Genomic DNA, 23,250 nt, shown 5'->3' with positions numbered 1-23,250 from the left:
AGTGTCCTCACTGCTCATTATATGTTAATTAGAATACATTAGCATGCTAAAAGACACTCCTGCCAGCACCATGACAGTTTACAAATGCCATGGCAACATCTGGAAGTTACACTGTATGGTCTAAAAAGGGGAGGAATCCTCAGTTCTGGGAATTGCCCATCCCTTTCTGAAAAAACTCATGAATAATCCACCCCCTGTTTAGCATATAATCAAGAAGTAACAAGAATAAGCACCTGAGTGGTCCATGCTGCTGCTCTGCCTATGGAGTAGTCAACCTTTTAATCTTTTACTTTCTTTTTTTTTTTTTCCGAGGCGAAGTATCACTCTGTCCCCCAGGCTGGAGTGCAGTGGCGCTGTCTCGGCTCACTGAAACTTCCATCTCCCGGGTTCAAGTGATTCTCCTGCCTCAGCCTCCCAAGTAGCTGGGATTACAGGTGTGCACCACCACACCCAGCTAATTTTTGTATTGGTTTCACCATGTTGGCCAGGCTGATCTTGAACCGAACTCCTGACCTCATGATCCGCCTGCCTTGTCCTCCCAAAGTGCTGGCATTACAGGTGTGGCCACTGTGCCTGGCCTACTATCTTAATAAACTTGCTTTCACTTCACTCTATGGAGTCGCCCTGAATTCTTTCTTGTGCAAGATCTAAGAACCCTCTCTTGGGGTCTGGATTGGGACCCCTTTCTGCTAACAGTAGGGTCGGAAAGCAGATGCTTTTTCTTCTAAACTTCAGACAATACTCAATGGGCAATTACTCATTTAGTTGTATGTTTTATAGCACATTTTTTAAATTGCATAGTCTCATCTAATTTAAATTTTTCAATTTATATTCACACTCACATAATATTTTTTAAAAGGTCAGATGCAATAATGCTTCTGAAGGTAGTTGTTGAAACAAACTCATTTAACACAAAGTGCTGCCTATGGCACACAAATATGATTTGGTCCTGCCCTGAAGAAGCTTAGGATCAAGTGGTAAAGAAGAACAGCTCTTGGTAAATATTGGTGGCATAGTAAAACATGTTTCTTGATAAATAATATGCCAGGCACTGTGCTGGGTGTCTTGGACACGCTGGTGAATAAGCCCAACATTCCCTGTCCTAGTGAAGTTTATAGTTTAGTAGGGAACGATGACAATTCAACAGGTAATCAAGATGCAATTTCACTTTTAGGTAATCCATAAAAGGGGCACATAATGGGGGCATCTAACCTAGTTTTGAGAGAATTAGAGGCTTTTTACAGGATATGACATTGAAGCTGAGATCTAGGGGAAAAATAAAAAGTAGCCAGGCAAAAATAGGGAGTAGAATCTAGGCAAGAGAAACAGCATGTCAAAGCGTACAAGTGCTAGAACATGGCCAATTTAGGAAAGAGAAAGTAGTTCGGAACCGCTGGAGGCCACCCGCTGTGGGAGGAGCCAGTAAAGGCCAGGTCACCAAGGACATTTTCAGCTATTTAAGTAATTTGGATTTTACCCTAAGGGCCATAAGGAGCCATTAACAGGTTTTAAGAGAATTGATGTGACCAGGTTTACATTTTGGAGGGATTATTCTGGCTGCAGTGTGTGAAGAAGGCATTGGTCAGAGGTAAGACTGAATCTAGTGAAACTTCAGAGGCTCCCTCAGTGACAGTCGGTGATGATGACTGGAACTAGGATGGTGGCAGAGGGGACACAGAGAAGAGGACAGACTCAACAGATATTCAGGAGGTAAATTTGAGGGATGGCTGGTGGGAATTAAAGAAAAGGTGAGGGGTCAAAGATAGCGCCCACATCCTGCATTAAGCAATTGCTGGAAGGCAGTACCATTCACAGAGATGGAATGAAGCAGAAAGTGCAAGTGTGAGAGAGAGGAAACTGAGCTTAGTTCTGGGTCTGTCTATCCGAGGTGGGGTGAGAACCCGGGTGGAGGTGTCTAGGCCACAGCTGGAAATGCAGGTCTGAAGTTCTGTATAGCAATCTTAGCTACATGTTGATAGAAGGAATGAGAGTGGATATGATGATCTATACGAGTAGGGTGAAAAGTAGGAGGAAGAGATACCCTGATCATGGACAGTTGACAGAGAATACCAAATGAATCTCAAATAAAATGACCCTGTACTTCATTTGAAAGTCAAAGGAAAAATCAGGTAGATAACTGAGGAAAAATTTTCCTTATCTTCCACCATTCCCCCTTGATGCTGCTTCTGCTCTTGGCAAACTGCATGTTTTGCTGTTCTTAAGAGACACAACGAACTTTACATCTTCAAGGATTGGATCATTTTATCCCTTCCTTTTTAAAAAAGGCCAAGCACAATACAACCCATGCCCTTACCCCACCACACAAAAACTGCTTTTCTTATTTTCCTTCCTAGATTATAGACTTCTTGAAATCATGGATAATTCACCATTTTCTCATCCACAGCCCACAGCACACACTCGTAGATAGAGGGTACTTGGTAAATACTTGTTTAATAAATAAGTGGCAAATGTTTGAACAGGAGAGATTGACTCACTGTGCTCAGACAGGCATGCTTTGTCCTGCAGGAGAAACTGAAGGTTATTCTTTGTATGAGGATTTGGCATTCTGAAAGCACAGATGAGCGGGGATGTTTCTCCAATGTGATAATCACCAAAGGGCAAGGGTAAGAGTCATTATGGTGTAGTACAGGATGAAAAACTAAAAAATTCCAAACGCACAAAAACGTTACCAGATCAAGAAGCTCCCAGGGTGTGTGGGTGTGTAGAGTGTAATGGAAGAAGTACCCTCTAAAGAGGCTAAGCGGGGAGTTCCTTTTGACACACCACAAGCACCACAAGAAGTGGCCCTGTAGCTAGAAGAACTCTGAGTGTGGTCATCAGAAAATTCCAGATTACTAATGAGTCAAGAATCTGAATGTGAACTGAAGACCTCATTTCCAAGCCAACCAAAAAAAAAAGTACACTCTATAAATTCTAAGCCCATGTTCTTTCCACTACACCATGCTGTCTTCTGAGAACTGAAGTTAAATACAATTTAAAAGAGGTGCTACAAAACGTAGTCATATCAAAAAGGGTCCCTGCAGATCTGCTCAGTATTAAAATGCAGGTTCTTTGACAGAAAGAAATTAGAAGGCTCTGGATTAGAAAATGAAAAAAATCTGCTGATGTCACTCTGCCTGAGGCTTGAAAAGAATAAGAACATGCCTGCTACTATAGGTAATGGGATGCTCTCAATTTATTCCAAGTCATAAATGTTTTATTTATTACTTTAGGACTGTAAAATAAGACAAGTTGTTATTCCAATAGCAACTTTACATGGAGAGAAAAACCACCTTGATCTGTCCTATTTCCCAAAAAGAATATTTCCAACTACAGTCTAGAGGCAAATTGTACAGCAATTTCTACCACCAGCTTTTCCCTTGGTGCATGCAAACACAGTCTTTGCTTTAAAAAAAATAGATTTCAAGTTTAGACGTTTATAACAACCACTTCAACTTATCCAGGCTTCCTAGAATAATTAATCATGATATTGCCAGTGGCTGTGCCCATGGTTGCCCATGGAGCAATAGGAATGAAAGAAATGGGAGCAAAGACAAAAATGAATCTTAAAAGTGTGTGCAGAGGGAGAGAGCTTTTCTAAACTATATATTGCATAGCCCTCCCCATTTCCCGGACTCCCTACCCAAACAGATAATGGGAAAATAGTGACCAGCTCTGCCTTTCTGACAGAAAGACAGCTGATCCAGCAGGAGGAAATGCATCTTGCTAAGGAAGAATGCTTGATCTTTTCGGCCGACAGAATCTCCATTTGGATAGAAGGTATGCAGTGTAACAGGTCAGAAAGCCAAGGGAACAATGAAAATGTTAATGATTTTTAAAAGGATTTTAGGGCCTACCAGTCTGGTCTTCCCCATTTAACCAAACAAGGTTATCTCTTCTTGTTCTCCAAACCACACCATCATGCACTACCTGCTACCAAAGAAATTTGTATCTTCTTACCTCTCCCAAGCCCAATGCAACAAAGAAGTTTCCTAATGTCATGAAAGCATAAACGGTCAGGAAGAAATCCTATTGACAACCATATATTAAGTGGTGGCTGTCTTCATTTCAATGCCCCTTAGAGTGCTTAGAAGATGTGAGTGAAAATAAGGGCCACAGAGGCAATTGCATTAAAATTTCAACATCTGCATTGCTGATGGTGAAAAGTTTAGCAAAAGAAAAACAGCTAAAAATTCTACTATCAAATGCAAAGGACAAATATACAGCACTGCCTCCTACACTAGTAAAAACTACACCAACTTGTGTTCAGGAATTTTTAGGTCAAATGTGTGAACCCAAAATATCTGAGACAGGTCTCATTCAATGTAGAAAGTTTATTTTGCCAAGGTTAAGGACACAGCCATGACACAGCTTCAAGAGGTCCTGAGTACTCGTGCCCCAAATGGTCGGGGTACAGCTTGCTTTTATACATTTTAGGGAGACATAATAACAGCAATCAATACATTTAAGATTTACATTGAGTGTCAGGCTTCTGAGCCCAAGCTAAGCCATCGTATCCCCTGTGACCTGCATGTATATGCGTCCAGATGGCCCGAAGCAAGTGAAGAATCACAAAAAAAGTGAAAATGGCCGGTCCCTGCCTTAACTGATGACATTACCTTGTGAAATTCCTTCTCCTGGCTCATCTTGGCTCAAAAGCTCCCCCACTGAACACCTTGTGACCCTCACCCCTGCCAGCCAGAGAACAACCCCCTTTGACTATAATTTTCCACTACCTACCCAAATCTTATAAAATGGCCCCACCCTTATCTCCCTTCGCTGACTCTCTTTTCGGACTCGGCCCACCTGCACCCAGGTGATTAAAAAGCTTTATTGCTCACACAAAGCCTGTTTGGTGGTCTCTTCACATGGACACGAGTGAAATTTGGTGCCATGACTCAGATCAAGGGACCTCCCTTGGGAGATCAATCCCGTCCTCCTGCTCTTTGCTCCATGAGAAAGATCCACCTACAACCTCAGGTCCTCAGACCAACCAGCCCAAGGAACATCTCACCAATTTTAAATCAGGTAAGCGGCCTCTTTTTACTCTCTTCTCCAACCTCTCTCACTATCCCTCAACCTCTTTCTCCTTTCAATCTTGGTGCCATCTTTCCGTCTCTACCTTCTCTTAATTTCAGTTCCTTTCCTTTTCTGGTAGAAACAAAGGAGACATGTTTTATCCGTGAACCCAAAACTCCGGCACCAGTCACGGACGCAGGAAGACAATCTTCCCTTGGTGTTTAATCACTGTGGGGATGCCTGCTTGATTATTCACCCATGTTTAAGAGGTGTCTGATAACCATGGGGACACCTTCCTAGATCCTTCACCCTTAGTGGCAACCACCATTTTTTGGGGGGCAAGCACCCCCCACCCCTTCTCTCCATGTCTCTACCCTCTCTTTTCTCTCCACTTTCCTGGGGGGCAAGCACCGCCCACCCCTTCTCTTCGTGTCTCTACCCTCTCTTTTCTCTCCACTTTCTTGGGAGGCAAGCACCCCCCCACCCCTTCTCTCCGTGTCTCTACCCTCTCTCTCCTCTCCACTTTCCTGGGGGGCAAGCACCCCCACCCCTTCTCTCCATGTCTCTACCATCTCTTTTCTCTAGGCTTGCCTCCTTCACTATAGGCAACTTTCCACCCTCCATTCCTCCTTCTTCTCCCTTAGCCTGTGTTCTCAAGAACTTAAAACGTCTTCAACTCACACCTGACCTAAAACCTAAATGCCTTATTTTCTTCTGCAATACTGCTTGACCCCAATACAAACTCAACAATGGTTCCAAAAAGCCAGAAAACGGCACTTTCAATTTCTCCATCCCGCAAGATCTAGATAATTCTTGTCGTAAAATGGGCAAATGGTCTGAGGTGCCTGATGTCCAGGCATTCTTTTACACATCGGTCCCTTCCTAGTCTCTGTTCCCAATGCAACTTGTCCCAAATCTTCCTTCTTTCCCTCCTGCCTGTCCCCTCAGTCCCAACCCCAAGTATTGCTGAGTCTTTCCAATCTTCCTTTTTTATGGACCCATCTGACCTCTCCCCTCCTCCCCAGGCTGCTCCTCACCAGGCTGAGCCAGGTCCCAATTCTTCCTCAGCCTCCGCTCCCCTACCCTATAATCCTTTTATCACCTCCCCTCCTCACACCCGGTCTGGCTTACAGTTTCGTTCCATGGCTAGCTCTCCCCCATCTGCCCAGCAATTTCCTCTTAAAAAGGTGGCTGGAGCTAAAGGCATAATCAAGGTTAATGCTCCTTTTTATTTATCCAACTTCTCCCAAATTGGTTAGCGTTTAGGCTCTTTTTCATCAAATATAAAAAACCCAGTCCAGTTCATGGCCCATTTGGCAACAACCCTTAGATGCTTTACAGCCCTAGATCCTGAAAGGTCAGAAGGCTGTCTTATTCTCAATATACAGTATATTACCCAATCGGTTCCCAACATTAAATAAAACTCCAAAAATTAAATTCTGGCCCTCAAACCCCACAATAGAACTTAATTAACCTTGCCTTCAAGGTGTACAATAATAGAGTAGAGGCAGGCAAGTAGCAACGTATTTCTGAATTGCAATTCCTTGTCTCCACTGTGAGAGAAACCCCAGCCACATCTCCAGCACACAAGAACTTCCAAACACCTAAACCGCAGCGGCCAGGCATTCCTCCAGGACCACCTCCCCCAGGAACTTGCTTCAAGTGCCAGAAATCTGGTCACTGGGCCAAGGAATGTCCGCAGCCCGGGATTCCTCCTAAGCTATGTCCCATCTGTACAGGACCCCACTGGAAATTGGACTGTCCAACCGGCCCAAGGCTCTGACTGACTCCTTCCCAGATCTTCTTGACTTAGCGGCTGAAGACTGACACTGTCCAGTTGCCTCGGAAGCTTCTTGGACCATCACAGACACTTTGGGTAACTCTCAGAGTGGACGGTAAGTCCGTCCCTTTCTTAATCAATACGGAGGCTACCCACTCCACATTACCTTCTTTTCAAGGGCATGTTTCCCTTGCCCCCATAACTGTTGTGGGTATTGACAGCCAAGCTTCAAAACCCCTTAAAACTCCCCAACTCTGGTGCCAACTTGGACAACATTCTTTTATGCACTCTTTTTAGTTATCCCCACCTGCCCAGCTCCCTTATTAGGTCTAGGCATTTTAACTAAATTATCTGCCTCCCTGACTGTTCCTAGGCTACAGCCACACCTCATTGCCACCCTTTTCCCCAGTTCAAAGCCTCATTCACATCCTCCCCTTGTATCTCCCCACCTTAATCCACAAGTATAGGACACCTCTACTTCCTCCTTAGCAACTGATCATGCACCCCTTACCATCCCATTAAAACCTAATCACCCTTACCTCGCTCAATGCCAGTATCCCATCCCACAGCAAGCTTTAAAAGGATTAAAGCCTGTTATTACTTGCCTGTTACAGCATGGCCTTTTAAAGCCTATAAACTCTCCTTACAATTCCCCCATTTTACCTGTCCAAAAACCAGACAAGCATTATAGGTTAGTTCAGGATCTGTGCCTTATCAACCAAATTGTTTTGCCTATCCACCCTGTGGTGCCAAACCCATATACTCTCCTATCCTCAATACCTCCCTCCACAACCCATTATCCTCTTCTGGATCTCAAACATGCTTTCTTTACTATTCCTTTACACCCTTCATCCCAGCCTCTCTTTGCTTTCACTTGGACTGACCCTGACACCCATCAGGCCCAGCAAATTACCTGGGCTGTACTGCCGCAAGACTTCACAGACAGCCCCCATTACTTCAGTCAAGCCCAAATTTCTTCATCTGTTACGTATATCGGCATAATTCTTCATAAAAACACACGTGCTCTCCCTGCCGATCGTGTCCGACTGATCTCTCAAACCCCAACCCCTTCTACAAAACAACTCCTTTCCTTCCTGGCCATGGTTGGACACTTTCGCCTTTGGATACCTGGTTTTGCCATCCTAACAAAACCATTATATACACTCATAAAAGGAAACCTAGCTGACTCCATAGATCCTAAATCCTTTCCCCACTCCTCTTTCCATTCCTTGAAGACAGCTTTAGAAGCTGCTCCCACACTAGCTCTCCCTAACTCATCACTCACTCCCTTTTCATTACATACAGCTGAAGTGCAGGGCTGTGCGGTCGAAATTCTTACACAAGGACCAGGATCACGCCCTGTGGCCTTTTTATCCAAACAACTTGACCTTACTGTTTTAGCCTAGCCCTCATGGTCTGCGTGCAGTGGCTGCTGCTGCCTTAATACTTTTAGAGGCCCTCAAAATCACAAACTATGCTCAACTCACTCTCTACAGCTCTCATAACTTCCAAAATCTATTTTCTTCCTCACACCTGACACATATACCTTCTGCTCCCTGGCTTCTTCAGCTATACTCACTCTTTGTTGAGTCTCCCACAATTACCATTGTTCCCGGTCCGGACTTCATTCCAGGCTCCCACATTATTCCAGATACCACACCTGACCCCCATGACTGTATCTCTCTGATCCACCTGACATTCACCCAATTTCCCCATATTTCCTTCTTTCCTGTTCCTCACCCTGATCACATTTGGTTTATTGATGGCAGTTCTACCAGGCCTAATTGCCACTCACCAGCAAAGGCAGGCTATGCTATAGTATCTTCCACATCTATCATTGAAGCTACCACTCTGCCCCCACTCCACTACCTCTCAGCAAGCCGAACTCATTGCCTTAACTCGGGCCCTCACTCTTGCAAAAGGACTACGCATCAATATTTATACTGACTCTAAATATGCCTTCCATATCCTGCACCACCATGCTGTTATATGGGCAAAAAGAGGTTTCCTCACTATGCAAGGGTCCTCCATCATTAACTCCTCTTTAATAAAAACTCTTCTCAAGTCTGCTTTACTTCCGAAGGAAGCTGGAGTCATTCACTGCAAGGGCTGTCAAAAGGCGTCAGATCCCATTGCTTAGGGCAACACTTATGCTGATAAGGTAGCTAAAAAAGCCACTAGCATTCCAACTTCTGTCCCTCACAGCCAGTTTTTCTCCTTCTCATTGGTCACTCCCACCTACTCCCCTACTGAAACTTCCACTTATTAATCTCTTCCCACACAAGGCAAATGGTTCTTAGACCAAGGAAAATATCTCCTTCCAGGCTGACAGGCCCATTCTATTCTGTCGTCATTTCATAGCCTCTTCCATGTAGGTTATAAGCCGCTAGCCCGTCTCTTAGAACCTCTCATTTCCTTTCCATCATGGAAATCTATCCTCAAGGAAATCAATTTTCAGTGTTCCATCTGCTATTCTACTACTCCTCAGGGATTGTTCAGGCCCCCTCCCTTCCCTACTCATCAAGCTCGGGGATTTGCACCTGCCCAGGACTGGCAAATTAACCTTACTCACATGCCTCGAGTCAATAAACCAAAATACCTCTTGGTCTGGGTAGACACTTTCACTAGATGGGTAGAGGCCTTTCCCACAGGGACTGAGAAGGCCACCGCGATCATTTCTTCCCTTCTGTAAGACTTAATTCCTCGGTTTGGCCTTCCCACCTCTATACAGTCCAATAACAGACCGGCCTTTACTAGTCAAATCACCCAAGCAGTTTCTCAGGCTCTTGTTATTCAGTGAAACCCTCATACCCCTTACCTTCCTCAATCTTCAGAAAAGGTAGAACGGACTAATGGTCTTTTAAAAACACACCTCACCAAGCTCAGCCACCAACTTAAAAAGGACTGGACAATACTTTTACCACTTTGCCTTCTCAGAATTCGGGCCTGTCCTTGGAATGCTACAGGGTACAGCCCATTTGAGCTCCTGTATGAATGCTCCTTTTTATTAGGCCCCAGTCTCATTCCAGACACCAGCCCAACTTGGACTGTGCCCCAAAAACTTGTCATCCCTACTATCTTCTGTCTAGTCATACTCCTATTCACCATTCTCAACTACTCATAAATGCCCTGCTCTTGTTTACACTGCCGGTTTACACTGTTTCTCCAAGCCATCATAGCTGATATCTCCTGGTGCTATCCCCAAACTGCCACTCTTAACTCCCTCTTAAAGTACATAAATAATCTTTGCTGGCAGGGCTATGCTGACCCTCCTTGGGCACTCTCTAATTGGATGTCCTGGACTTTCCCAATTCTTAGTCCTTTAATAGCTGTTTTTCTTCTCTTATTCGGACCTTGTGTCTTCTGTTTAGTTTTTCAATTCATACAAAACTGCATCCAGGCCATCACCAATCATTCTATACGACAAATGCTCCTTCTAACAACCCCACAATGTCACCCCTTACTACAAAATCCTCCCTCAACTTGACCTCTCCCACTCTAGGTTCCCACACTGCCCCTACTCCTGCTGGAAGCAGCCCTGAGAAACATCGCCCATTATCTCTCCATGCCACCCCCCAAAAAAGTTTTGCTGCCCCAACACTTCGATACTATTTTATGTTATTTTTCTTATTAATATAAGAAGGCAGGAATGTCAGGCCTCTGAGCCCAAGCTAAGCCATCGTATCCCCTGTGACCTGCACACATATGTCCAGATGGCCCGAAGCAAGTGAAGAATCACAAAAGAAGTGAAAATGGCCGGTCCCTGCCTTAACTGATGACATTACCTTGTGAAATTCCTTCTCCTGGCTCATCTTGGCTCAAAAGCTCCCCCACTGAGCACCTTGTGACCCCCACCCCTGCCAGCCAGAGAACAAGCCCCCTTTGACTGTAATTTTCCACTATCCACCCAAATCTTATAAAATGGCCCCACCCCATCTCCCTTCGCTGACTCTCTTTTTGGACTCAGCCCGCCTGCACCCAGGTGATTAAAAAGCTTTATTGCTCACACAAAGCCTGTTTGGTGGTCTCTTCACATGGACGCGCGTGATACTGAGGCCAAGGCAGGCAGATCACTTGAGGTCAGGAGTTCGAGACCAGCCTGGCCAACATAGTGAAATCCCATCTCTACTAAAAATTCCAAAAAAATTAGCTGGGCGTGGTGGCATGCACCTGTAGTCCCAGCTACCTGAGAGGCTGATGCAGGAGAATTGCTTGAACCTGGGAGGTTGCAGTGAGCAGAGATCACACCACTGCACGCCAGCCTGGGTGACAGAGTGAGGCTCTGTTTCAAAAAAAAAAAAAAAAAAGAAGATTTATGTTGGGGCATTCGATCTGGAAGGGCAGGACAACTTGAATTGAGACAGCCAAGACTAAGGGGTCCCCGAGAAACCCCAACCGGCCTGTGCACTGGGTGGAGTGCACACTGGGGTGAAGCCTCAGGAAGTTCCTGCCTTTTGCAGCAGGGAGGAGACTGGCCTCTCCTGCTCTGGGGCGGAACCTGGAATTCAGTCCGCAAGGCAGGAAGGCTATGGTAGCAGGACTCTCACTCTGCTGACAGTCCCTGTTTCCCTTTATTTTTGCCTTTTTGCCCAATAAATTCCATTTTTCTCACCCTTCAAATTGTCTGCAAGCCTAATTTTTTGTGGTCACATGACAAGGACCCTGTCTTTAGCTGAACTTAGGAAAAGTCCTACTACAGAACTGGGGGGTGGTTCTAGGTCATAGGTAGATTTAAACATAGTCTGAGTGGCAATTGGTTGAAAGTTATTATCTGTAGAAAGCAATGTCTGAATTAAGATAAGGGATTGTGAAGACCAAGGTTTTATCATGCAGATGAAATCTCCAGGTAGCAAGCTTCAGAGAAAATGGATTGTAAATGTTTCTTATCAGCCTTAAGGTTGGTGCTGAAGTTAACCCTGGAAAGACAGAATGAGGCCTGTCCCTCTCACCGCTACTCTTCCTTTCATGGCCCAAACCAGTCTTTCAGGTTAAATTTTAGAGTGCCCTGGCTGAGGAGGGAGTCCACTTAGATAGTTGAGGGGGCTGGGGAGACCTTTGAATTTTATTTTATTTTTTTTATTTTTTTGAGACGGAGTCTCACCCTGTCGCCCAGGCTGGAGTGCAGTGGCATGATCTCAGCTCACTGCAAGCTCTGCCTTCCAGGTTCAGGCCATTCTCCTGCCTCAGCCTCCCGAGTAGCTGGGACTACAGGTGCCCGCCACCACACCCAGCTAATTTTTTTGTATTTTTAGTAGAGACGGGGTTTCACCGTGTTAGCGAGGATGGTCTCGATCTCCTGACCTTGTGATCCGCCCACCTCAGCCTCCCAAAGTGCTGGGATTACAGGCATGAGCCACCACGCCTGGCCTGAATTTTATTTTTTGTTAGATATAGTGAACTCCAAGTTTGTCTTCAAAGAATCACTATGTCAGTATGTTCAGCTCTCTTATTCTTTGATTCTCCATTTTAAGGTTTAACTTCCTGGTACTCTTCGCCCCCTTGTCTCTAGTATCAGTATCTAGTATCCAGTATCTAGTATCTAGTATCCCACCAGTTCTAATCAGTAGTTCAAATCTGTTCCCCTGGTCATCTGCTTTGACCTGAGTCACCCCTGGTCACCTGCTCCATCCTGACTCATCCTGAGTTACCTGTTCTGTAACTGCCCTTCCTGCCAAACTACTCACCCTGCCACTCTGGCTGGTACCCCTGCTCTCTTTAAAATAGCAGATCGGAATTAGCTTAGACTGTGTGGTCCAACCCTAGACAACAAGGGAATGACACAGCAGTAGGGGCTACCTGCATCAGGAATAAGAATCCCTTCTCCTTCCTTGTTCAGGTGTGCTCTCACCATTGCTCCATCCATGAATCACACCCTTCTATAGAAGTAAAAATTGCCTTGCTGAGAAAATTAAATGTATGTTCCAGTGCTATTTCTTTGGTGGCACTGAAAATTTATTGATATATTTTTGGTTTACAAATGGCTCCTCTGAATGAATTTCTTTAGTTAGTGGTATATTTAACAAGGCAACGATCAACATATTTAATATTAATAGAAAGCAAGCCAAGAGCATTTTTGTTCCAAGAAGTGGGGAAGCATTAAGGAAAGAAGGGAGGAAGTCAAGTTCATAGTTAGCAAGTTCATTGTTTAATTCAGCATTTAAATTGACAAAATAGCTATTCCAAGGAATGAGGAATGAACCAACACAAACAGGGCTGCAGCATCTTGTGTCTCAATAAAGTCAATCCTCCCAGCAGCCTTTTGCCAAAATATGTTTTACCTCATTACATGAGATTGTGATTCACCCCAGAGATATGAATTTACCCACTGTTTAACCATGGCTTCCAAATATTTACAGCAATTTTCAGGTCTAAAATCCCTGTTTTTACTATAATTATTTTTATTTTCTGTGAAAGTTTGAAAGCCCTAGAAGCAGCCAGGCCCAAAAAAAAAAAAAAAAAAAAAAAAAAAAAGGCCTTTGTAAAAGGCATCTAAGCCCAATTTCCATTTCCTGGAAATCTTAGTTTTTCAGATTGGAAGAGTCCTTAGAAATTATCTAGTCCAATGCTTGTCAACCTCTCTACACACCCTGAAACCCCTGAAACAAATATATGACAATATCCCATTAGTAACAAAGTTCAATACAGCAATAATTCTCATTTGGGCACACACACAGAGCACATGTAATTCTATAAGCTCAGGTCTCTAAGTGCCAAGTGATTCTGGTATGTTCACTTAAGCAGGATGCTGTCATCTCCTTAGAGCTCCCAGAAAATAACTAATTGACCTAGTCTGTAAAAGCATCTGGCCTGGTGATTTGCCCACTTGGACAGAAGTTACTAAAAGGCTTAGGCCTAGAACTGAAGTCTCCTGCTTCTCAACATGGCATTTTCCCCCTCAATACTCTGCTTCTCTTCTGTTCTCTACAGACATTCTCAAATGACAAAAACGCAATCAAGAAAGTGCTGTCCACTGTTCCACCATATGTACTGGCAAATGCCACACTTACGTCACCTCAATTTATGATTTATCACTATAGTGATTACTACCATTTTTCTTCCCTGCAAGTGGGTTTAGGAAAAAGCCCAGCTAAACCTAACCCCACTTGAATTCATTAATTCAAGAACACTTATTAGCCAAAACGCCACGTCTGCCCTCCATGGGAAGGCCTCACCTAAAATAACCTAAATAACCTAATAACCTCACCTAAAATAACAGCTAAAGGCTGCAGTAAAGCTCCAGTTTGGTACCTATTCTTTCTCGCTCCCTGAAATAAAGTATAGAAATCCCAAAACCACAACTTCCCTTCTTATCAAATCCCAACCACTGTACTCTACACTTCTATGCACTCAGGTGGAACAAGCTACTACTTGTGAATACTTCAAGTACCTTCTAATTTCTCAGATTTTCTCCACACAATTTGTTCCCTCTCCAGTTCAGGATGGGAAATGACTTAATGAAAAATGTATCGCCTGGAGGCTTCTCTCACATAACTAAGCTAATCATTTTGGTCTGTTCTGCAGAATTTTTCATTAACCAGAGGATAGTTCTGCAGTTTATCCCCTCATTCTATTGACCAAGAGAAATGGAAGTGGAGGAAGCCTGTCTTCATAGCTCACTTTTTCTCCTGTTAGAACATGAAATTTTTCTATTTTCACTCTCTTATCCTAGCCTCAGGTCTCCGCGAGATATCAATTTCTGTTCCTAATATTCACAGGAGCCCACGTTAGTCAGCTGAGTTCTGTGGGCACTGGGGAAAAAGTTCTGCCTCTGACTGGCTGCTATGTTTATGCTGAAGTCCAGACTGTACCACCATCAGGCAAAGCTCTGGGTACCACTAATGGGCATCCTTCTCTGACCTTCTACCACCAGCCATTTTTTCAATGATTTCTACCCCTAATTCTCATAAGCACTGACATTCTTTCATGGTCCAGTCACTTCTTCCATTTTTCTGCTCTTTTTTCATTTATTTGCTTCCATCCAACACTCCAATTTAAATACTTTATGCCATATACTGTTCTTCCATATACTGTGTAACATTATCTTTACTAGGCAACCAAATTACTAGTTCTTTTTGTGCCATCAGCCATTATGTATTTGCATATACAATTATAAACAAATATATATAATGAGACTCAATTACATACAAGGTACTCAAATCTATTTACATTTAAAAAAAAAGGAGAGTAAATGACGAGTTAATGGGTGCAGCATACCAGCATGGCACATGTATACATATGTAACTAACCTGCACATTGTGCACATGTACCCTAAAACTTAAAGTATAATAATAATAAAGAAAAAGGAGAGAAAACAGATTACATAGAGCTCCTGACAGCTACTCCAGAAGAAAGAATAGAATGAGAGAGTCCCTATGTCCCCACGTCCCTCTGCCTCACAAGTTGTTCTCTATAAATAGCGTGCGTGAAATGATATTTACTTTGGGTTCCAGAATACGTGACAGATCTGGACAACTTCCGGCCTATAAACACATAAGTTAGCAGCTACTACTGTCAATCTTTTTGCTGTTCTGGGACATGAAATGTTTGAGATGTCAGTTACTACCTACAGAGGGTCTAGTTTTAGCATCAGCTGGATTATTCTCTCTGTAACGCTTGGAACGTGTAAAACCATTGATATAAAACTCCCTTAAAATCATGTGAAATCAACAAAACAGAATATAAATTAAATATACTGGCTGCCCATCTCAGCCCACCACTCCCAAGAGAGAGGGGAGGAAGCAAAATAAATATATAGATTTTTTTTTTAAAAGAAGAAATCTGCTTTCTGGATAATCTAACAAAAGAGTTGAAAGAAAGGAAATATAATTAAACTTCATTGTACTTAAAATAAAAATTTAAAAATGTTCCCCTATTCCCTATCAAATCTGGGCTGACAGGCATGTTATTTAATTGCCCATAAATGAGCTTCTTTAAATAGCACCCATTAATACCCCAATTTCAGCATCAGCCTGTGCACAGAGAGAAAAAGATAAACTTTGAAATGGCTAAAAAGCAAAACAAACTGCTTTCTTCAAATGTCAGCAGAATCTGAATGAGGAAAAGCCATGAGGGGGAAAAAAACCTCCCTACCTTCAGCTGTGGATGAAGCCGCCAGGCCCCAGACCATTGACTGCAAAGTCAGAGTCTAATCTGAACTGATGTCAAGGTAAGACATCTGCTTTGTCAGAAACCCCAAAGATACTGAAAAACGGAGCACAAACCATTATTGAAACCATAATCTGCACCAAAAGTAAATCTATGAGTCTAGTCAAGTGTGGCTTATGCATAATTTACCCCGGCATCCAACACATTTCCCCCCCCCATAGCCTGTCGGGGTTTCAAACTCAACGTATCTAAAACAGAATATAAAATCTCCTCCTTAAACCAATTCTCCCTGGCAACTTTCTTATTTCTATATCACCAATTATCCTAGTCTTGAAGCCAAAAAATCATTTCTACTACCTTCCTCTCCTTCAATCATATGCCCAGTCAACTACCTAGTAATAATAATAACTAGCATTTATTGAGGGATAACTATAAGCTGAGCACAGTACCAGGCACTTGACACACCTATTTAATCCTTGCAACTAACCTGCCAAACAGGTGTAATTATTCCCATTACACTTATAAGGAAACTGAGGCTCAGAGGTTCAGGTGGTTAAGTAACTTGATAAAGGCCACATAGCTAGTAAGCAGCAAAACTCAAAGCAGAGACACCCCCTGCCTTTGGCACCCATGCTCATGTATTATTCACACTATCACAATCTCACATCCACCCACAAGTTCTTCCATTCCTAATGCCATCACTCTGGTTTAGGCCTTTATTACCTTTTGTGTAAACTATTTAAATGCACTCTTAACCTTCAGACTTTTTTCCTTCAAATGTATCCTGCTGCACAGGTGTGCTGCATGAAACTTCTTGAATGCTACTTTGTTCATGACATTCTCTTCCCTTAAAAATTTTCACTGTTCCCCAAATACTACAGACTTCCTATATCCAAAGCCTTCCATCAGCTGGATTTTCCCCCATCCTCCTGAAAACATGCAACTTTACAGTCAAGTCTAATTCTTTGCCACTCTCCAAAAATATGGAGTGAATTCCCATTTTCTGCTTATAATTAAGTAATTAATATCACCTAGAACACTGTCCAACTCATTCTGCAGGACTTAACTCAAATGATATCTTTGTAAGGATGCTTTCTCTGATGAGGAGGGAAAAGACTAAAGAAGAAGAAAAGAAGTGTTATTTCTGTCTGAGAGCTTTCTTTGTGTCAGGCATTGTTCTAAAAAAAATCTGCATGACCAGTGAAATGGGTACTACTATTATCTCCAGTTTACAGATAGAGACTTGAAACATAGAACAGTTAAGTAACTATCCAGGGTTGCTTTGCTGTGTAAAGTCAAGATTCAAATCCATACTATTGGGCTCTAGAGCCCCCTTTCTTAACCATTTTGCTCTAGTGAACTCTAAGAAGTGATCCTTCTTAACTTTCATGGATGGGTCAAGCTGATCACATGAGGATCTACTGATCAATCTTAGTATCACCAAAAACAGGACACCTAGACAATATATGCCTCTTAAAGTTATACAATAAGCAATTCACCACAGGCCTATAAGCATCCTTGCCAAATAAATTGCACTGGAATCTAATTATGGCTCCACTCAGTACTTCTCAAACTTTAATGAGCAAACACATCATCTAGGGATCTGGTTAAAAAGCAGATTCTGACTCAGTAGGTTCTGGATGGGGCCTAAGAGTCTGTATTTCTAAGAAGCTCCCAGGAGATGCTTATGCTGCGGGACCACACTGTGAATAGCAAAGCTCCAGAATGTGGATCTAATCACCAGCTGACAAGACACAGGAGGGATAGAGGAACAAATTAAGCAACTCATGGCTGGGGCTAGAACACAGTGATGAGGCACTTGCCTCAAGGGCACCATTTAAAGGTGTGCCAAAAAATACAGTACTGGAGATAAATATTTTAATAGGTATTTTCCAAAATCAAAAATGAATGCAAAAAAGTTATAATGAATATAATAACACAATTTTAAATAAAGTCAGGGCCAGTATCACTGGTTTTTCTTCTTGCCTCAGGCTCCCATATGGCTCTGCACAGCTATGCAGAAGCTATCTGCCCAGTCGAGGGTATGAAAAATTCTACAGGGCAAACGTAGACCTAGTTTCTAAAACATGTAAATATTATCAAAAGAAGAGGAGTTATACTTTAAGAGACTTAAGAGACAGAAACTCATTTTGATACTGATTTGAACAAAATGTACAGTAAAACAATGTGGAGACAATAAGAAAAATAGAAACACAGACTGAATATTAGATAAAAGAATTTTTGTTTTTTTCAAGTTCATGATAATCACATTGACAGTGTGATTTTTTTTTAGGTCCCTTCCTATTGGAGTAAGGTACTGCAATATTTATGGGTAAAATGATATAATATCTGGGTTTACTTTAAACTACTCCAGTAAAAACAAAAAAAAAAAAGTAGAGGACATAGATGAAACAAAATTAGTGAAATATTGATATCTGCTATAGCTCAGTAAATGTTACTTGGGGATTCATTATACTATTCTCTAATTTTTATATGCATAAGATTTTCATAATAAAAAGTTTTTTAAATTAATTTTTTTCTTTAGACATCCTTAACATGTACTTTGTACCCCTCGAACAGAACATAGCACATAGTAGTGCCTTATACATCTCTAATAAAAATAGGTAATTTTTTTTGACAGGGTCTCACTCTGTCACCCAGGCTGGAGTGCAATGGCGTGATCTCGGCTCACTGCAACCTCCGCCTCCCGGGTTGAAGTGATTCTGCTGCCTCAGCCTCCCGAGTAGCTGGAATTACAGGTGCCCACCACCATGCCCAGCTAATTTGTTGTATTTTTAGTAGAGACGCGGCTTCCTTATGTTGGCCAGGCTGGTCTCAAACTCCTGACCTCGTGATCCGCCTGCCTCAGCCTCCCAAAGTGTTGGGATTACAGGTGTGAGCCACTGCGCCTGGCCTAAAATAGGTACTATTTTTAATATGTGCCAGGAGCAGTGATTAGCATCACGATAATATTGTGACATATTGCACAGGTAAATAAAAGTGAAGTTTAACAAGTTAAATAACTTGCCCAACGTCACACATCCAGAAAGTGGCAAAGGCAAGACTTAAACCCAGACTCCACTGGCTCAGAAGCTCACACTCTGAAGCATTGTGGTATAACAATTTCTCTTATTCCAAATGGATTTTATGACAGAAGGTAATCTCAGCTTACAGTTCTTCATCTCTCTCACGCTCCTAAGACACAGTGGCCATTTTGAGAGGTTAGGATCAGGACTATCTGGCTTTGTATGATGGCTCTGATACCAGCTGTGTGACCTTGAGCAAATTACTTCATCTTGCTGCCCCTAAGTTTCTTCATCTATATAGGGCTATTAATCTCACATGAGTATGAGATTAATAACCATCTCATAGAGTTATAAGGAAGATGAAATGAGTTAATAAATGTAAAGTGCTCAGAACTGTGCCTCGCACATGGCAATCACTGATTAAGTATTAGCTATTATTATTATTATTTTATTTTATTTTTGAGACAGAGTCCTGCTCTGTTGCCCAGGCTGGAGTGCAGTGGCATGATCTCAGCTCACTGTAGCCTCCACCTCCCGGGTTCAAACAATTCTCCTGCCTCAACCTCCTGAGTAGCTGGGACTACAGGCGCACACCGCCACACCCGGCTAATTTTTGTATTTTCATTAAAGACGGGGTTTCACCATGTTGGCCAGGATGGTCTTGATCTCCTGACCTCGTGATGTGCCCGCCTCGGCCTCCCAAAGTGCTGGGACTATAGGTGTGAGCCACCACGCCCAGCCTATCATTATTATTAGTAGTACGTTCTCAGTAAAATCGAATGACACTGAACACACCCCTCAGGCAAACTCATAACCATTTAATTTTACTACTTCTAAGAAACTGTTTTTGACCATAGAACTTGAAAGGTGGCTTGCACCAATGCTTAGAAAAGCCAATATACAGTAATCAAAATTAATGTTCCTATGTTTGGAGAAAGAAAACTCCAGTATTAATTAAAACCCTTAAACACAAGGACCAGGACCATTGCTACAGTAGCACACTTGCTTTGCAAGCTTAATGTCAAGGAATTTATGGTGTCTGTGGGATTTTAAAATCTCCAGGAAAGTACCAGGATCCTAAGCTGAGAAGCTAGATGCTCCATAGAAATAAATGGGAGGTGCCAGGCGTGGTGGCTCATGCCTGTAATCCCAGCACTCTGGGAGGCTGAGGAGGGTGGATCACTTGAGGTTAGGAGTTCAAGACCAGCCTGGCCAACATGGTGAAACCCCATCTCTACTAAAAATACAAAAAAAAATTAGCCGGACATGGTGGCACACACATGTAGTCCCAGCTACTCAGGAGGCTGAGGCAAGAGAATTGCTTGAACCTGGGAGGTGGAGGTTGCAGTGAGCCAAGATCGTGTCACTGCACTCCAGCCTGGGTGACAGAGTGAGACTGTGTCTCAAAAAAAAAAAAAAAGAAAGAAAGAAATGGGATGGCCCTGGGTCACAGGCTGAGGTGGGTAGCAGAACTGGTGTCAGAAGCACTGAGCCAAAGGAGTAAACTGAGAACCATGTGCCAGAACTAAGCAGGAGCCAAGCTATTGTTAACTGCTCAGCCAAGGGAGTTAGTTGGGGAGTTGTGCCAAAGCTCACCAGCCAAAATCATGCGGAGACAGACCAGAGCTGGGAAGAGCGAGGACAAGGTCCCCAGTGATGCAGGAATAATCTGAGCCCAAATCAGATGGAAAAGGCTTCCGACACGGCTTGCTGCTTTTAACCATGTATGGCAGGCCTCTTTTGTAGTTATGTTGGGTCAGTCTTGAAACTATACTTTTCCAAGCTGTCTTGTTACATATGAAAGGCGAAATAAATAAAAGGCTCAGACCTTAGACCACCTGGCAGATCCACATCTCCCTTCCCACTGGCAGTCTCTCAAGTCACTCACAACCCAGTCACCAGCAGCACTTGGTTTTAACTTCCACAGGGCTGAGTATGTATTATATCAAGTTTACTCACAATTACTAGCATTTATTCAACCCTTAAATCTAGCAGACAGGATGCTAACAGCTTTCCAGTTATATCACTTAATCAATCCTTCAGTGACCCATTGAGATATTATTATTATCCCCATTTTACAGATGAAGAACCTAAGGCTTAGAGAGCACAGGGTCACACTGCTAGGAAGCGTCAGTTCAGTCCAACTCCAGAGACAACTTTTATACTCCACTGCCTCCTTTCTTATGCTACTTTTTATTAGCAGACTCTTTGCTACTAAAAGGACCAGAAATGAGTGACAGACTATTGCAGGTAAACTGCTGACATGATAAACCGAACAACCTGGAACATAATCTTCCCCAGGGAAGCTGGAAAGCTTGGTAAAAGCAGTTGAAGAGGAATGAGCAATCCTTAAACTGTCTTTACTTTCAGCAAACAGGGTCATTTTCTCCTCTGCAATTGCTCTTCTCCAGTTGAGAGCAGTCCCTGCTGCTCTTGTCAACTGCTGCAACCTGCTGAGGGGAAATTATGCAGAGGGGAAAAATATCACAGACTTTTTTTTCTTTGAAACTTGGGGGAAGGGAGAAAAAGAAGGGGGTGGAATTCTCAATGGAGAAAAAAAATTATAAATACAGTAAAAATGGAATAGAACCTCCAAATAAATAATATCTGATACCAAAAGACAAACTAAGAGCAGTAATCAAAAGGGGTCAGATAAAAAGAAATTAAAATATGCAATTTTTCACAAATCTGTTACCAAAAAATATTTGTTTTCTATTCATACAAAATGTCAAGAGAAGCAGTACCTGGGCTACAAAAATATGATGACTCCAAAATCCATATATCATACCTGAAAACAACTGTGTGGTTGTGATCCCTTACAGAGTGTGTAGAATGAGAATGGAACATGAGGGACACCAACATTCAAGGCACAAACAAAGCAGGAAGATATCTAAAGATACCTAAAAGGATATGGGCCAAGAAAATCAAATGTGGCATGAAAAGTATCCCTTTAATTTAACAACTAAGAGGCCATTAATGACCTCATCAAGAGCAGGTTCAATCAGATGATGGGATACAAGCCATTTTACTAAGCTTATTCTAAAATGGAGGTAGGACTGCAAGTGTGAGGTACACTTCTGAGGACGGTGTCAATGGAAGATGAGAACAGGTCACCAAACACATGGGAATGCAGACTTGAGTGAAGATGTATGAGCAAGATTCTGACAAATAGGGGAGAGAGAAACTGAAAGTCTGAGACTAAAGATACAAGTGAGGAAATGGACAACCAATGGGAGGTGAAACAATGGGATGAGAGTCAGAGGGGCTGAACAGGAGGATGGCAGCTTCAGCCACTGAGACAGAGAGACAGAACATCAATATGCACTCTGGGGTAACTGCCCATGTTTTTTATATTCTCTTTGAACTAGGAGTTAGGTTGTCTAAGAATAAGTATAGAGAACATAGAGCGGGTAAGGAAATTCATGAGTATTTCAAAATAAATGTTGTAGAAATTGAAAGAGTAACCTATGAATTTAGGGTATAATTTCCTTCAGAAGGACTCAACAGCCTAGGTTTGTGAATTCCTAATGGTCAGACAATAAGGTTGATATTTGCCCTCTGCACACTCATCCTTTCATTCTCTTGTTTGTTCCATCTTTCATAAATAAAATGTGTGTCAAGTATCTTCTATGTACTGGGCCTGCAGGACAACACTGAGCAAGACAAACAGCACCCCTGCCTGTAGAGTCTTATAACAGAAGAAACAAACAACAGAAAATCACAATAGCAATGAATAATATATAGGAGGAGTTCATAGTACTATGGAGAAAATGTAAGATGATTGCCTAATCCTGACTAGAGAGGACAAAGAAGGCTTGCTTAAAGAAATAACATTTGAGACTTGGAGAAATGATAGTTGTCTCAGGAAGAAGAGAAAGTCAGAATGTTCCGCGGAGAACAACATGTGCAAGGACATTCCAAGAAATCCTGAAACAGAAAGAACATGTCACTTCCGAAGATCGGAAAGGTCCACGTGTTAAAGTATAAAATGTGGCAAGTCTAGAGATGTATGCAGGGGCCAAGCACATGTAGAGCTGGTAAGAATATTGTGCTTGAGTCTCAAAGCAATAGCAATCTGTACTTACAAAGGATTACTCTAGCAACGGTATCCAAAATGGATTAGGAACAGGCAAAAGTAGGTGCCAGAACAGTGAGGAGGCTGTTATTAAGAACCCAGGCAAGCGACAATAGTAGTATGGACAAAAGCCAAGACAGTGAGGACAGGATAAAGAAACTCAATACATTAAGAGATGTAGAGGGAGCAAAATCCTTTAGAATGTATGACCTGGATGCAGGGAATGAAGGAGGATAAAGGATGAT

General features: G+C 42.6%; 1 protein-coding gene across 4 annotated transcripts in view, besides 6 other annotated features; it reads right to left on the bottom strand.

Moving 5' to 3' along the window:
- The window catches only part of AGK (acylglycerol kinase), a 103,835-nt gene that overhangs the window by 66,320 nt on the left and 14,265 nt on the right, over positions 1 to 23,250 (bottom strand). The gene's annotated exons all lie outside the window — the stretch shown is intronic.
- Positions 1,220 to 1,776: an enhancer, noted in NCBI's record as "NANOG-H3K27ac hESC enhancer chr7:141286949-141287505 (GRCh37/hg19 assembly coordinates)". NCBI's record gives its function as "activates a minimal SCP1, AML or CMV promoter by ChIP-STARR-seq in naive H9 embryonic stem cells {active_cell/tissue: H9 hESC(naive)}" and the evidence as "EXISTENCE:reporter gene assay evidence [ECO:0000049][PMID:30033119]".
- Positions 2,334 to 2,890: an enhancer, noted in NCBI's record as "H3K27ac-H3K4me1 hESC enhancer chr7:141285835-141286391 (GRCh37/hg19 assembly coordinates)". NCBI's record gives its function as "activates a minimal SCP1, AML or CMV promoter by ChIP-STARR-seq in naive H9 embryonic stem cells {active_cell/tissue: H9 hESC(naive)}" and the evidence as "EXISTENCE:reporter gene assay evidence [ECO:0000049][PMID:30033119]".
- Positions 2,334 to 2,955: a biological region, named in NCBI's record as "H3K27ac-H3K4me1 hESC enhancer GRCh37_chr7:141285835-141286391".
- Positions 2,816 to 2,955: an enhancer, noted in NCBI's record as "active region_26789". NCBI's record gives its function as "activates an Ori minimal core promoter by ATAC-STARR-seq in GM12878 lymphoblastoid cells {active_cell/tissue: GM12878}" and the evidence as "EXISTENCE:reporter gene assay evidence [ECO:0000049][PMID:35858748]".
- Positions 3,449 to 4,004: an enhancer, noted in NCBI's record as "OCT4-NANOG-H3K27ac hESC enhancer chr7:141284721-141285276 (GRCh37/hg19 assembly coordinates)". NCBI's record gives its function as "activates a minimal SCP1, AML or CMV promoter by ChIP-STARR-seq in naive H9 embryonic stem cells {active_cell/tissue: H9 hESC(naive)}" and the evidence as "EXISTENCE:reporter gene assay evidence [ECO:0000049][PMID:30033119]".
- Positions 4,005 to 4,562: an enhancer, noted in NCBI's record as "OCT4-NANOG-H3K27ac-H3K4me1 hESC enhancer chr7:141284163-141284720 (GRCh37/hg19 assembly coordinates)". NCBI's record gives its function as "activates a minimal SCP1, AML or CMV promoter by ChIP-STARR-seq in naive H9 embryonic stem cells {active_cell/tissue: H9 hESC(naive)}" and the evidence as "EXISTENCE:reporter gene assay evidence [ECO:0000049][PMID:30033119]".

The sequence above is a fragment of the Homo sapiens genome, chromosome 7 (genome assembly GCF_000001405.40).
Source record: "Homo sapiens chromosome 7, GRCh38.p14 Primary Assembly".
Classification (NCBI taxonomy): domain Eukaryota; kingdom Metazoa; phylum Chordata; class Mammalia; order Primates; family Hominidae; genus Homo; species Homo sapiens.
Note: the sequence above shows the minus strand (reverse complement) of the source record. Positions and strands in the feature narration are given on the sequence as shown.